Source organism: Homo sapiens, chromosome 15, assembly GCF_000001405.40.
Source record: "Homo sapiens chromosome 15, GRCh38.p14 Primary Assembly".
NCBI lineage: Eukaryota > Metazoa > Chordata > Mammalia > Primates > Hominidae > Homo > Homo sapiens.
Window position 1 is genome coordinate 50,728,345 of NC_000015.10, and position 16,857 is coordinate 50,745,201.

At 39.5% G+C, this 16,857-nt stretch overlaps 1 protein-coding gene across 4 annotated transcripts in view; it reads right to left on the reverse strand.

Annotated features, from left to right (window-relative positions):
* SPPL2A (signal peptide peptidase like 2A) overlaps positions 1–16,857 on the reverse strand; it is a 63,441-nt gene that overhangs the window by 26,079 nt on the left and 20,505 nt on the right. For all 4 annotated transcript variants that reach the window (NM_001438112.1, NM_032802.4, XM_017022680.2 and 1 more), the window contains exons 6-10: positions 11,336–11,484; positions 8,300–8,396; positions 7,757–7,858; positions 4,259–4,340; positions 2,621–2,695 (exon numbers count right to left, since the gene is read on the reverse strand). In NM_001438112.1, coding sequence (NP_001425041.1) covers positions 2,621–2,695; positions 4,259–4,340; positions 7,757–7,858; positions 8,300–8,396; positions 11,336–11,484 — 505 coding nt within the window. The remainder of the gene's footprint in view (positions 1–2,620; positions 2,696–4,258; positions 4,341–7,756; positions 7,859–8,299; positions 8,397–11,335; positions 11,485–16,857) is intronic.

Below are 16,857 nucleotides of genomic sequence, written 5' to 3' on the forward strand. Positions count from 1 at the left end.
TATTTTTATTTATTTTTGAGACGGAGTCTCACTCTGTTGCCCAGGCTGGAGTGCAGTGACACGATCTCGGATCACTGCAAGCTCTGCCTCCTGGGTTCACGCCATTCTCCTGCCTCAGCCACCCAAGTAGCTGGGACTACAGGTGCCCGCCACCATGCCCGGCTAATTTTTTTCTATTTTTTTAGTAGAGACGGGGTTTCACCATGTTAGCCAGGATGGTCTCAATCTCCTGACCTCGTGATCCGCCCACCTTGGCCTCCCGAAGTGCTGGGATTACAGGCGTGAACCACTGCGCTCGGCCAACAATTTCTTTTTTTGAAACGGAGTCTCACTCTGTTGCCCAGGCTGGAGTGCAGTGGCACGATCTCGGCTCACTGTAACCTCCGCTCCTGGCTTCAAGCGATCTTCCCACCTCAGTCTCCCGAGTAGCTGGGACTACAGGCGTGCACCACCACACCTGGCTGATTATTGTATTTTTTTTTTTTTTTGAGATGGAGTCTCGCTCTGTTGCCCGGCTGGAGTGCAGTGGCGCAATCTTGGCTCACTGCAACCTCCACCTTGTGGGTTCAAGCGATTCTCCTGCCTCAGCCCTCCAAGTAGCTGGGATTACAGGCGCCCACCACTGTGCCTGGCAAATTTTTGTATTTTTAGTAGAGATGGGGTTTCACTATGTTGGCCAGGCTGGTCTCAAACTCCTGACCTCAAGTGATCCACCCGCCTTGGCCTCCCAAAGTGCTGGGATTACAGGCGTGAGCCACCGCACCCGGCCTCTTAATTATTGTATTTTTAGTAGAGATACAGTTTTACCATGTTGGCCAGGCTGGTCTCGAACTCCTGACCTCAAGTGATCTGCCTGCCTTGGCCTCCCAAAGTGTTGGGATTATAGGCATTAGCCACCGCACCTGGCCAAATTAACAAGTTTAGTTATAACCCATAATACTAGTTCTATGAATTTTTCTTTTTTTAGGTTACTATTGTTCAGTGAAGTCAATGAATCAAATGGCTCATCATTAAGTGACAGAAAGGTGCTAGTAAAATGGTTTGGTTAGGCCAGGCATATGCCAGCTGACCCATATGCCAGCTTGGGCAATATGGTAAAACCCCATCTCTACAAAAAATACAAAAATTGGCTGGGTATAATGGCGTGTCCCTGTAGTACCAGCTATTTGGGAAGCTGAGGTGGTAGGATCACCTGGGCCTCAGGAGGTTAAGGCTGCAGTAAGTCATAATTGAGCCACTGAACTCCAGCTTGGGCGGCAGACCGAGACCCAGTCTCAAAGAAGAGGAAAAAACCAAAAAAAAGGTTTGTGTCTCAAAGAAGAGGAAAAAAAAAAGTTTGGTTGGTTAGCTGTATTTTGGGACAGTTAATTATATTTGTTACCTATTACAATTTTAGCTCCCCAATAGGGTACAGTTTGTCTTTATGCCATTATAGCAAATATCAGAAGTGTAGATTTTTACAGTGATTTCACAGATGATAGGTTTAATGAATGGGTAAAGAAGAAATGAGGCCAAGCACTATGGCTCATGCCTGTAATCCCAATACTCTGGGAGGCCAACGTGGGAGGACTCCTGGGCTTGAGCCCAGGAGTTTGAGGCTGCAGTGAACTAGGACTGTGCCATTGCACTTCAGCCTCAAGACTCGGCCTTTTAAAAAAAAAGAAGGAATGATAAATAAAGTAGAGAATATCAAATACTTAAATATATGAGTGACAAAGGATAAATGGATAATATAAAGTTACAAAGCAAGACTCAAAATGGGAGAAAGTAGGGGAATTAAGCAATAATTAATATTATATTCATGAGACAGGAAAAGGATCAAGGTAGAAAAGCTTGACAAATAATTAAGGACCACCATACTCACCCAACACCTCTCCTCATTTTACTGAAGAGCTAGCGGCAGATCTGGGAATATATGACCTAGGAGCTGCCAGTTGCTCAGATTCTAACTTCATGGAAAAAGCCAGTCTGAGAGAATGAACAAATGGACAGAAGCAAAAAGGGAGAGTATGTGGCCCTGAGTCTAGTTTCTCTTGACGCCAGTCCCACACTGGCCTACAAACACAGCCTAGATAAATGGGACCTTTTTGGTACAGAAGGCTTCGGTTGGGTTCTGTTAGTTGGAACCAAAAGAATTCCACTGATGGAGGTGGAAGATGAATAGCTAGCAGTACTCCCTCATTCAACGCGTTAGTAAATGCAAGCAGAAAGGGCTAAGTAACTTGCCTATGGTTGCAAGGTTACAGAGCTACATTCTAGGCCTTCCGATTTCCAGCGTGCTGCTCTTTCTTAGTCTCAAACTAGGGCTTCAGAAATGATATTTTATTTTTTTTATTGTCTATATTGCCTACAGTAAACATTTAGCTCATAAGAAAAAATACTTTAAAAAGGGAAGAAAAGTACAGATATTCTCATATTTATATCAGTCAAGAGACATTTTAAAATCTAACAAAATGGATTAAAAGCTTGAAAGTTAAAAGGCCAATTTCAATGACAGTTCTTTTAAGAGAATTAGAATTCACTCAGTGGTAAACATCTGCAAAATTAATAATCTAGGAGCAGATTTAAGATGATCATTTTTTAGCATGTTTCTTCACCCATTTCAAAAATATGGTCATACCTTTGTGATGAATGGTGTTATGAAAACAAAAAATACATCATAGAGGAGGAGAAGGCCTAGAAGTATCACACATGACTGTCAAAGAAAGAAACAAAATTAAAGGTCAATCTTCCTAAATGTAAATGAAGGCATTAAATTGTTTTTCAAGTGCAAATAAATATATGAATATACATTTAAATATTACTTTTAAAAAGATATCTTATGGTTAATACTATGTATAGTTTTATTCTACATATTAAAACCCTTATCTTCTTTATCTTATTTTTTTAAAAAAAATCACCGAACCAAAGAAATGTGCTGGGTTGGGCCTGGTGGCTCACGCCTGTAATCCCAGCACTTTGGGAGACTGAGGCGGGGCGGATCACGAGGTCAAGAGTTCGAGACCAGCCTGGCCAACATGGTGAAACCCCGTCTCTACTAAGACTACAAAAATTAGCCGGGCATGGTGGCACGTGCCTATAAACCCAGCTACTCAGGAGGCTGAGGCAGGAGAATCACTTGAACCCAGGAGGCAGAGGTTGCAGTGAGCTGAGATCGTGCCACTGCACTCCAGCCTCGGTGACAGAGTGAAACTCTGTCTTGGAAAAAAAAAAAGAAGAAATGTGCTTCCCTGATATTTGGTCATGTTAAAGATTTTATGAATTTGGCATATTATATGAATGATTAAAAATATTTTAGGCAGGCTGGGCACAGTGGCTCATGCCCGTAATCCCAGCACTTTGGGAGGCCCAGGTGGGCAGATCATTTGAGGTCAGGAGTTCAAAACCAGCCTGGCCAACATGGTGAAACGCTGTCTCTACTAAAAATACAAAAATTAGCAGGGCTTGGTGGTAGGTGCCTGTAATCCCAGCTACTTGGGAGGCTGAGACAGGAGAATCACTTGAGCTCAGAAGGCGGAGGCTGCAGTGAGCCGAGATCACACCACTGCACTCCAGCCTGGGAGACTGAATGAGACTCCATCTCAAAAAAAAAAAAAAAACCAAATAAATAAAAAAAAAAATATTTTAGGCAGGGTGCAGTGGCTCATGCCTGTAATCCCAGCACTTTGGGAGGCCAAATCAGAAGGACTGCTTGTGGCCAGAAGTTTAAGAACAGCTTGGGTAGCACAGCAAGACCCCTATCTCTACAAAACCAAACAAACAAAATTTAGCTAAAATAAAGTGTACACATGGATAAGAGTGAGGAATAACAGGCACTGGGATACTCGGCATGGTGGAAGAGTTAGAAGGGGTGAGGGATGAGAAATTACTTAATGGGGACAAAACACATTAGTCGAGTGATGGTTATACTATAAGCCTCATCACTACCCAACATATCCATGTAATAAAACTACACTTGAACCCCTTAAATTTATACAAATAAAAGAAAGAAAAAAAAACAATAGTTTAGCTAGCAAATCAGTGGTTGTCTGGGCCTGGGGGTTAAGGACTGATTGCAAAGGCCATGGTAGAGCTTTTGGAAGAGATGAGAAATGTTCTACAACTTCACTGGGATAGTGGTTATAAAGTTACACATTCATAAAATTTTCATAAACAGTACGCCAAAAATTGGCGCATTTAATTGTAGGTAAATTATGCCTTAATAAAGTTGTCTTTTAAAAATTTATTTTAACTAGCAAAGTAGTATTGTATACATTACCTTGAAGTTGGGCAACTTCAGTGTTTTAATTAAATTCAGACAGAAAGCAATCCCCAAGATATCCTGTAAAATCCAAGCCCACCTAAAATCAAAAAATATTACTCTATTGCTTTATCAATGTTTAGATGAAGCCTTTCAAAAGACATAGATCACTGAGGTAATATCATTTAATTGCTATGATTTGACTATTCCTTTTTTTTTTTTAAGACAGATTCTCACTCTGTCACCCAGGCTGGAGTGCAGTGGCATGATCTCGGCTAACTGCAACCTTCACCTCCTGGGTTCAAGTGATTTTCATGTCTCAGCTTCCCAAGTAGCTGGGACTAAAGGCATGCACACCACCATGCCTGGCTGATTTCTGACTATTCAATTATTAAACAGCAAGCATAACAACAAAACCCCTCATATACTCTATATTTGGTAATTTTACTGTCCTAGTAGAATAATGAATATTATTACACTAAGAAAAAGTTGAAAAGGCTACCTCAGAAGAACATATATCAGACATAAGTGCATTAACACGTCTCGCTCTAGAAAACAGCTGTTAACAAAATACCAGTGTTAACACAGATCCAAATAGCTTGAACATAAAGAAAACAAGAGCTATGCAACTTACTCCATCAGAAATTGACATAAGTAATTATCCATTGATTATCCTACCTGAAGCTGCATAAAGCTGTATGAGCTTTGTTTCCCAAATTTTAGGCCATTAAATCCTTTCAGTCCTCAATAATTTTATTAATAAACCATTAATATAAACCTAAGTATATATTTTTTCTGGTTATCTTCCTACAAATGAACAGATATCTGTATATTTTCTTATATCCCCCTCTTTCTTGCATAAAAGACAGCATACTCTATATATTTTTTTGCACTTTGCTTTTTTCACTTAAAAAAATACAAATATCAAATCAAAGTGGATTAAAGACTTAAATCTAAGACCTGAAACTATGATGCTACTTGATGAAAACATTGGGGAAATGCTCCAGGACATTGGTCTTGGCAAAGATTTCTTGAGTAAGACTTGAAAAGCACAGACAACGAAAGCAAAAATGGACAAATGGAATCACATCAAGCTAAAAGGTTTTGCATGGCAAAGGAAAAATCAAGAAAGTGAAGAAACAACCCACAGAATGAAAGAAAATATCTGCAAACTACCCATCTGACAAGCAATTAATAACCAGAATATGTAAGGAGCTCAAACAACTCAATAGAAAAAAAAAAGTAATCCAATTAAAAATTGGGCAAAATATCTGAATAGACATTTCTCCAAAGACATAAAAATAACCAACAGATATATGAAAAAATGCTCAACATCTCCAATCAGATGAAATCTGATTGCAATTAGAGAAATGTAAATCAAAACTACAATGAGATATCATCTCATCCCAGAATGCTGGCAAGGATGTGGGAAAAGGGGAAACCTTGTACACTGTTGGTGGGAATGTAAATTACCACAGCCACTATGAAGAACAGTATGGAAATTCCTCAAAAAAACTAAAAACAGAATTACCATATGATCCAGCAATCCCGCCATTGGATATACATGCAAAAGAAAGGAACTCAGTATATCAAAGAGATACCTGAACTCTCATGTTTATTGCAGCACTATTCGCCATAGCCAAGATATGGAATCAACCTAAGTGTCCACCAGTGGATAAAGGAAATATTATACACACTCATATATATATAATTTTACAAATACACACAATGGAATATTATTCAGCCATAAAAAATAATGAAGTCTTGTCATTTGCAAAGACATGGATGGAACTGAAGACATCATGTTAAGTGAAATAAGCCAAGCACGGAAAGACAAATATTGCATGTTCTCACTCATCGTGGGAGCTAAAATTAAGAAAATAAAAATAAAAAATGGAACTCATGGAGATAGTAGAATGATGGTTACCAGAGGCTAAAAAAAGGTAGAGAGTGGGGGTGATAAAGTGAAGATGGTTAATGGGTGCAAAAATATAGCTAAATAAAATAAATAAGATCTAGTGTTTGGTAGCACAATAAGGTGATACAGTTAATAACTTATTGTATATTGTAAAAATAACTAAAAGAGTGAAATTGGAATGTTCCCAACACAAAGAAATGACAAAGGCTTGAGGTGATGGATACCACTATTACTCTGATGTGATCATTCACATTGAATGCCTGTATCAAAACACCACATGTATCCCGTAAATATATATAGTCATTATGTTCCCATAATAATTAAAAATAAAACTTTTTAAAAAGTATAGACTGTGCTCCTTTTTGTACTTTATATATCATAGAGTATATTCTCTCTCTCTCTTTTCTTTTTTTGTTTTTTTGAGACGGAGTTGCACTCTTATTCCCCAGGCTGGAGTGCAATAGTGTGATCTCAGCTCACTGCAACCTCTGCCTTGGGTTCAAGTGATTCTCTTGCCTCAGCCTCCTGAGTAGCTGGGATTACAGGCGCATGCCACCATGCCCGGCTAATTCTGTATTTTTAAGTAGAGACGAGGCTTCTCCATGTTGGTCAGGGTGGTCTCGAACTCCTGACCACAGGTGATCTGCCCACCTCAAGCCTCCAAAAGTGCTGGGATTACAGGTATGAGCCACCATGCCCGGCAAGTATGTTCTCTTTTGTATCTGACTACTTTCACTTGGCATTACGTTTGAGATTCATTCACGCCTCTGCATGTGGTATATGGCTTACTTATTGGTGAACAGTATTCCATTGTGTAAATATAACGTAATGTATTCACCCATTCAAAGTTTGATGGACATTTTGATTGTTTCTGCACTCTCTCTCTCTTTCTCTCTCTCCTGGAACTCCCTGCATATCAATTCATAGAGATCTTCATTGTTTAGAGCTGCACTGCACTCAACTGTGTGGCTATACCAAAATTAAGTGTGTGTATATATACACACACACACATACATATATACACACACACACATATATACATACACACACACACACACACACACATATTTTTTTGAGATAGAGTTTCACTCTTGTTGCCCAGGCTGGAGTGCAATGGCGCGATCTTGGCTCACTGCAACCTCCGCTCACTGCAACCTCCGCCTCCCGGGTTCAAGCGATTCTCCTGCCTCAGCCTCCCGAGTAGCTGGGATTACAGGCATGCACTACCACGCCTGGCTAATTTTTTGTATTTTTAGTAGAGACGGGGTTTCTCCATGTTGGTCAGGCTGGTCTCAAACTCCCGACCTCAGGTGATCCGCCTGCCTCGGCCTCCCAAAGTGCTGGGATTACAGGCGTGAAATTAAGTATATTTTTAAAGTCTATTTCAGTGTATGTGTTAAAATCATAATTCATATTTCCTTCTCTATATGAGTTCAAATGCATTAACATAAGATCTGCTTATTTAAGAAGTAGTTCATTACAAGACTGGTGTTCTGGCATAGAAGCAAAAAAATTCCATAATAATCATAATAAGTATCAGGGCAAGATAGGAAACAATTCATCCTTAATCTAAAAGCAAATACATTGAGTATTCATACCTGTCTTCATTTCGAAACACAGCCCAAACAACAGCTACTGCTATGCACAGTCCAGAGAGAAAAATAAGTCTCACTTCCATGTTTTTGCCACGACATGCAATCCTAAAAAACAGATTAAAATAGTTAACACTGCAGATGAAGTACAATGTTCACTTGATATAAGAAGTAGCAAATATTAACCACAGTCATAAGAAGTGACTGAAATATCAATTTTGAAAGTCTTGATTTTAAGTAAAACAAATGAGACGTAATAAAATGTTTATCAGTCCAATATAATTTTCTGTGATGATGAATAATGTACTATATCTGTGCTGTCCAATATAGTAGCTACTAGTCATATGTGGCTATTGAGCACTTGAAATGTGGCTAATAAGAATGAAAAACTCAATTTTTAATTTTATTTAATTTTACTTAAATTTAAATTTAAACACCTGTAGGTCCAATGTATATTGGACTATATAGGTTTCAAATAATACTCCTACTTTTGTATTGTTTCAAATTATAAACACCAACATTATAAGATTTCCTGTAAGAGATACGTACGTGCATTGTCCATATGGTATCTTATGAATTAGTGCAGCAAGACAGTTGTACAGACTCATTGCTGATGCTATGCAGAAAATTGCTATCATAACATAAACTGAAAAAAACAAAACACTAAATTACATGAGAACAGAAGGAAAGGTGATAAGAAAATATTTATACAAGCAATATTAATTCTTTACTTTCTTTATTGAATCATACTTCCAATGAAGTGACTATACGATGACCTGAATTACTTACTAAGCTGAAATTTAGATCGTGAGGTTTTTTGTTTTTTTTTCTGAGAGTCTCACTCTGTCGCCCAGTCGCCCAGGCTGGAATGCAGTGGTGTAATCTCGGCTCTCACTGCAATCTTTACCTCCTGGGCTCAAGTGATTCTCATGCCTTAGCCTCCTGAATAGCTGGGATTACAGGCATGCGCCACCATACCCAGCCAATTTTTGTAGTTTTAGTAGACGGGGTTTTGTCATGTTGGCCAGGCTGGTCTCAAAGTCCCGACCTCAGGTGATATGCCTGCCTTGGCCTCCAAAAGTGCTGGGATTACAGCAGTGAGCCACTGCACCCAGCTGTCTTCTTTTTAAATAGCGATGAATTTAAGGAAATCTCTTACCAAAAACTAAAATATGCTTTCAGGTAAAGTAGAGGGCTCTCTTTTTTCTATCAATGACTACTATAAACTAAGAGTTGATAACAGAAATTAATCTGAAGGAGTATTAAATTAATAAAATCACCTGTTTGATGCCAACATAATACAAATATCATTTTAGTACTCGCTCTCTCAACAACAGTTTAAAATGAGTGATATTAACAAAATGAGTTTTTTTTTTGAGATGGAGTCTCACTGTGTCACCCAGGCTGGAGTGCAATGGGGCAATCTTGGCTCACCGCAACCTCCGCCTCCCAGGCTTAAGCGACTCTCCTGCCTCAGCCCCTTGAGGAGCTGGAACTACGGGCACGCACCACCATGCCCAGCTAATTTTTGTATTTTTAGTAGAGACAGGGTTTCACTATGTTGGCCAGGCTGCTCTTGAACCCCTGACCTCAAGTGATCCACTTACTTTGGCCTCCCAAAGTGCTGGGATTACAGGCGAGAGCCACCGCATCTGGCCAGAATGACTTAATTTTAATTAAAAAATACATGTCATAAGCTGGGTACAGTGGCTCACACCTGTAATCCCAACACTATAGGAGGCCGAGGCAGGTGGATCTCCTGAGGTCAAGACTTTGAGATCAGCCTGGCCAACATGGTGAAACCCTGTTTCTACTAAAAATACAAAAATTAGCTGGGGGTGGTGCCAGATGCCTGTAATCCCAACTACTTGGGAAGCTGAGGCAAGAGAATCGCTCCATCTCAAATAAATAAATAAATACAAATAATAAAAGTACAAATATTAGCTGGGCATGGTGGGATGTGCCTGTAGTCCCAGCTACTTGGGAGGCTGAGGCAGGAGAATCGCTTGAATGCGAGAGGCAGAGGTTGCAGTGAACCCAGATTGTGCCACTGCACTCCAGCCTGGGTGACAGAGCAGAGCAGAGCAAGACTGTCTCAAAAAAAAAGATATCATAGGTCTAGTTTTTAAACTGCTGTCACAGGACAAGAGAAACTGAACAAAAACTGAATGAGGCTGGGTGCGGTAACTCACGCCTGTAATCCTAGCACTTTGGGAGGCCAAGGCAGGTGGATCACTTGAGGTCAGGAGTTCGAGACCAGCCTGGTCAACATAGTGAAATCCCGTCTGTACTAACAATACAAAAATTAGTCGGGCACAGTGGCGCACACCTGTAATCCCAGCTACTCAGGAGACTGAGGCAGGAGACTCACTTGAACCTGGGAGGTGGAGGTTGCAGTGAGCCAAGACTGCGCCACTGCACTCCAGCCTGGGCGACAGAGCAAGACTCTGTTTCCAAAAAAAAAAAAAAAGCTGAATGAAACAAATCCTAGGCCCTAGTTTTCTAGTCCAGAAATTTATGCTAATGCTATACACATAAGCATGGTAGCCTTTGGTGGTTCTTAAAAGGGCTTTTTGCTAGTTCTTATCAGGTACACTCCTTTTACCCTGGTCTCCCTTCTCTTTGTGCTGTATACTGTCCAGGGATGGCAAATTTCCATTCTATTAAGCCATTAATAAGACTGTTCAGGAGATGGACAAGCCATTATAGTTCCTGCTCCCACTTTCTTCAAGGAAAAAAAGAACTAGTTACTTTCTAGACCACAGGGAAGTACCTGTGTGTCTTCAGATATATGATCCTAACTGTTTATATAAGTAACATAAAATTCAAGCAATAAAACATCTTGATTTGCAAATTGACAAAAGATAAACTACACTTGGGAGTAAGTAGAGGCAATACATCAGTAATTTGAATAATCTTCTATTTCATGTAACTAAATATAGCCACCAAGAACTCCTTAATCCACTGCTTAGATACTGAGCTATATCATTCATCTACAGAGAGGAAAACTTAGGGACCATGGCAATTATTTCAAGTCATCCATGAAGAAGTGTTCTTATCTGAAAACATAACGTACTTTTTTTTTTTTTTTTTTTTTTTTTAAGACGGAGTTTCGCTCTTGTTGCCCAGGCTGGAGTGCAATGGCGCAATGTCGGCTCACTGCAAACTCCACCTCCCAGGTTCGAGCGATTCTCCTGACTCAGCCTCTCAAGTAGTTGGGATTACAGGCACGTGCCACCACACCCAGCTAATTTCTGTATTTTCAGTATAGATGGAGTTTCTCCATGTTGGTCAGGCTGGTCTCAAACTCCCAACCTCAGGTGATCTGTCCACTTTGGCCTCCCAAAGTGCTGGGATTACAGGTGTGAGTCACTGCTCCTGGCACATATTGTATTTTTAATCTGAATATTTTTATCTCAGAGTAACAGAGACCTAACACTCTGATAATTAAAAAAAAATTAATATTAACCAAATTATTCACATACGTTTTCCAGGTAGAATGGCTTAAAGGAAAAGATAAATCTAGTAATAGTCAGTGAAAAGAATGTATGTTAACAGTAGCAAACATAAAATATGACTTCTTACCCAACCATTTGTAGAAGAAATAAAGTAAGACCATCATAACACAGCAGATGACCACAAATATTACAACTGTAAGAGGACTAAAAGTTAAATATTCTTCCTTCTTTTTCCTCATTTCTCTATCTTCAGTTGTCACTGCTTTCAAGTTTTCCCTGTACAAACACACAGGAACTTTAGCAAATCTTAGCCAAGTACAGTTATTTAAAAAATTTATCTCTAACACCAATTTAAATCTGTTTCTGAAGAAAACAATGTATTTTTATTTATTAAAATATTTTTATTTTATTATTTTTCTAAGCTATCTTGTTATAGCAAGTAATGTACTTTTTAAAAACTGTACCCTACAAAGAAATATTTAATCTAGAAAGTAAAAACCTCTTAAATGCTACTCTCCAGAGATGATCTGTTTTCAACCACTAACTTTTGAAACATTTTTTTCTGCAGGCAAAATTGTTGAAAGAGATGACGTTGGCCGAGCATGATGGCTCATGCCTGTAATCCCAGCACTTTGGGAGGCTGAGGCGGGCGGATCATGAGGTCAGGAGTTCGAGACCAGCCTAACCAACATGGTGAAACTCTGTCTCTACTAAAAATACAAAAATTAGCCGGGTGTGGTGGTGTGTGCCTGTAATCTCAGCTACTTGGGAGGCTGAGGCGGGAGGATTGCTTGAACCCGGGAGGCGGAGGTTGTGGTGACCTGAGATCGTGCCATTGCACTCCAGCCTGGGCAACAAGAGCGAAACTCCGTCTCAAAAAAAAAAAAAAAAAAGAAAAAAAAAAGAGATGACATCTATTATATAAACAAATTAATACTTGTGGATGTTTATATTACCTAATTTGAAAATTATATTGACATAATAAATTTCAAACTAAAACCAATGCTTCTTACAAACTTACTATTATCAACTTACAGATAGTAAAGTACTTCTAAAAATTAGCTTCTCTGTTTTTTGAGACAGAGTCTTGCTCTGTTGCCGAGGCTGGAGTGCAGTGGCGCGATCTCTGCTCACTGAAACCTCTGCCTCCCAGGTTCAAGCAATTCTCCTGCCTCAGCCTCCCAAGTAGCTGGGACTACAGGCACATGCGGTTAGGCCCGGCTAATTTTTTGTATTTTAGTAGAGACGGGGTTTCACCATGTTGCCCTGGCTGGTCTCGAACTGAGCTCAGGCAAACCACCCACCTCAGCCTCCCAAAATGCTGGGATTACAGGTGTGAGCCACCGCACCCAGCCGCTTCTCTTAAATGTAAACGCTAAATTCTCCTCTCAATCAACTTAGCATTTACTATATGCCTAGTCTATGCTCATCAATGTATTATAAAGGACTCAAAAGAAATTCAAGGCATAACTTTGTCCTACCTTTATTTAAGATAACGAAATATTGTATCAACCCTTGCTAGGCCACAGAGCTAATAATAGAGACAGAAGTCGAGGAGGAAAAGAACTGCAACTGTTGTTTGTTGGGCAATCTCTCTTGTCGACCTTACTACTGTCTCCTCCTAGTTATATGCAACCTATGACACATTATTAATACTACTTCTGAATACTTTTCAACAACTCTGTTCTAAACTCTGCTCCCTCCTGGGCAAATCCTGGCCCTGCTTGTTAGGTCTGGGCTCAATATAAAATTTAGGTTAAAAAAGTTTATTTATTTTAATATATTTTTAAAAATTAATTTTAAAAATAAAAAAAAAAAAAAGAGTAGATTGCCTGGGAAAAGAGGAGGGAGAGAGTTGATGGAGACATGCTAGCACCTCCCCCTGAAACTCCAGAGCTGAATGACAGGGTATTAAATAAATTTCTACAAATGTGGTACCTGAGTGTAAAAAGGTGCTAATTATGATATCTGTCACTACAGAAATACATTTAAAGCAATTTTTGTCATAGTATACATATGAGCCATAATAATTCAATATCTATTCATAGTCATTAAACTAAAAAGCACAGGCAATTTCTTGAAGGAAAGCATACAGTGTACTAGATTTATATCACATTAAAATATTACAATTCTGCTGGGTGTGGTGGCTCACACTTGTGATCCCAGAACTTTAGGAGGCTGAGGTGGGCGGATCACTTGAGGTCAGGAGTTGATACCAGCCTGGCCAACATGATGAAAGTCCATCTCTACTAAAAATACAAAAATTAGCCAGGCATGGTGGCACGTGCCTGTAATCCCAGCTACTTGAGAGGCTGAGGCAGCAGAATCGCTTGAACCTGGGAGGCAGAGGTTGCAGTGAGCGAAGACCGCATGCCACCGCACTCCAGCCTGGGTGACAGTGAGACTCCAACTCAAAAAAAAAGAAAAAAAAATTACAATTCATCTTTTTTGAAAAAAAAAATTGTACTTTCATATCAGCTTGAGAGCCATACGCAATAGAAACCTAAGCTTTATTGCATGCCATCTAGAGGTTATAAAGGCTGAGGACCAGTGACCTTATTATAAAAAGATTTTAGGCTGGGCATGGTAGCTCACGCCTGTAATCCCAGCACTTTGGGAGGCTGAGGCAGGCGGATCACCTGAGGTCAGAAGCTCAAGACCAGCCTGGCTAACGTGGTGAAACCACATCTCTATTAATAATACAAAAATTAGCTGGGCATGGTGGTGCATGGGAGGCTGAGGCAGGAGAATTGCTTGAACCCAGGAGGCGGAGGTTGCAGTGAGCCAAGATCGCGCCATTGCACTCCAACCTGGGCAACAAGAGCAAAACCTCGACTCCAAAAAAAAAAAAGATTTTAACACTGTGCTGAAAAGTCTTTCTACAGAACCCAGGCATCTTTCCCTTTTGCTTAAGGTACATCTCTCATTTGGTAGAGTAATTTTGGGTTGTGAGGTCCTGTTCTGGCACATTTTCCCTTCCCTAAGCCTTACTCTCTTTCCATCCAACTGTCATTACTTGCTAAATGATGGGCCTTATGTTTTTAATAATTATTTTTATGGAACTTTTTCCTTTACATCACTGATTCATATTCTCTTTCTCCATACGGTCACCACCCCTTTCTCCTCCCACATACACTTACTTCTCTCTATCTTTATTTTGCTCTTAGAATCAGCCCCCTCAATTTTAAAATCCATGATCCTGCAGGTATGGGACATTTCCTCTCCCAATCTGGTTTTTGAAGGCAACAAATTACTTGTTTCTGCTCCATCATCATGTTTTACAAATAAAAAAGCTGATATGTACTCCCCTCCAATTTTCAATTTTCTCAAGGAGGAGCTTGTCCTAGCGTGTATATAAAAAAGCTTGCCTTGCTAAACTCAAAGTGTGGTCCATAGGCCAGCTAAATTACTTGGGAGTTGTTAAAAATGCAGAATTGGGCCAGGCACGGTGGCACACACCTGTAATCCCAGCACTTTGGGAGGCTGAGGCGGGCGGATTGCCTGAGCTCAGGAGTTCGAAACTAGCCTGGGCAACACGGTGAAACCCTGTCTCTACTAAAATACAAAAATTAGTCAGGCTTGGTGGTGTGCACCTGTAATCCCAGCTACTGGGGAAGGTGAAGCAGGAGAATTGCTTGAACCTGGGAGGCAGAGGTTGCAGTGAGCCGGGGTCTCACCACTGCACTCCAGCCTGGGCAACAGAGTGAGACTGCATCTCAAAAAAATAAAACACACAATGCAAAATCTGGGCCCCTATCCCAAATCTACTAAATCTGAATTTGTAGTTTATTATTCTTTTTGTTATCTTTTTGAGATAGGATTTTGCTCTGCTGCCCAGGCTTGAGTGCAGTGGCATGATAACGGCTCACTGCAGCCTGAAATTCCTGGGCTCAAATGGTCCTCCTACATCAGCCTCCTGAGTAGCTAGGACTATAGGTTCATGTCACCACACCCAACTAATTTGTAAATTCTTTTTGTAGAGATGGGTCTCACTATGCTGCCCAGGCTGGTCTCAAACTCCTGGGCACAAGTGATCTATCTGCCTTGGCCTTCCAAAGTGCTGGGATTACAAGTGTGAGCCACCACGCCTGGCCTGAATTTGTATTTTAATAAGATCTCTAGATAAGTATATGCACTTTACAGTTTGAGAAGCACTATTCTAGAGAAGAAAAAATTTACATGGTAATGGAAGTACAGTAAGAATCTATAATAAATAGGAAAACATTTTCAATAAATCAGCAGCTTTTGGAAAATTATTTCTAAAGTTTCCCTAAGTAATATACAAAATGATTTTAGAGATATGGAGATCTTACATACTATGCTTTATAAAGATTAATAATTGCCAGGCGCAGTGGCTCACACCTGTAATCCCAGCATTTTGGGAGGCTGAGGCAGGCAGATCACCTGAGGTCAGGAGTTCGAGACCAACCTGGCCAACATGGCGAAACCCCATCTCTACTAAAAAAAATACAAAAAATTAGCTGGGTGTGGTAGTTCACACCTACAATCCCAGCTACTTGGGAGGCTGAGGCAGGAGAATTGCTTGAACCTGGGAGGTGGAGGTTGCAGTGAGTCAAGATTGCACCACTGCACTGCAGCCTGGGTGACAGAGTGAGACTCCATCTCAAAAAAAAAAAAAAAGATTAAAGATTAATAATGAAGGAGAAAAACATGCTTACTCATATGAAAGATGTGACTGATATATGTTGAAACATGCTTTCCAAATACAAAAAATGTTTAAAGCTCAATGCTCCAGGAACCTACACTTGTTAAACTCTTAACATTTCCCTCTTGATGTAAGTCAATCAAATTTTAGTATTTAAGAAATTACAAATAACCTTAGCTTCATTTAGTTACAAATAAGATCTTTTAAATGGAAGCTATAGATCAATTCACAAGGCAAATATATTTTGCCCTTCATACATGAAATAATATGCTCTGGGCACATTTTTTTCATTGAGAGTTATGAATATACACTGACTCTTTTTAATTTAGAGCCAAAAGTACAAAACTGTAAGGAGACCGAGTTAAGGTTACTACTAAATAGGAAAATCTGAATTTTATGTACATTTGAAATTTCTATATTTAAATTAAAATACAGACATGCTTTAAAGTTTTAGTTAATCTTCATGCTATAGATTTTTCTTCTCACTGTATAATTTTGGCCATTTGAGTCTTTTTGTTTAAACTGGCAGAAAGTTGAAATCTTTGGCTATTCAGGAAATCAAGACTACAGATGCTTTGCGCCCCCACAAACAGTACATTGCATCATTGTTCACTTTAGCAGCAGATGTGGTGGCTATGGGGGCAGTAGGGTTAGAAGTTTGTAGAAGGTAATTTTAAGGATAATTTATCATAAATCATTTCCCCTAATCTGCATAAATTAATTAGAACTGATTTTAATAAAACTTATAAAGTATATAGAAAACATTTAAAACTGTTGTTGGAGAAAAGGGAAGCATATACAGATTCAGCTGGATTGCATTTTACTTTCTGGTGTATGAATTTATGGCAAACAATGCAGTTTGTGGCTTTTTCATTTCTTTCAATAAAAATACTTAGAAAATATAATTTTTATTTTTTATGTTTTTGTAGAGATGGGTTTTGTTCTGTTTTGAGATGGAGTTTCGCTCTGTCACCCAGCTTGGA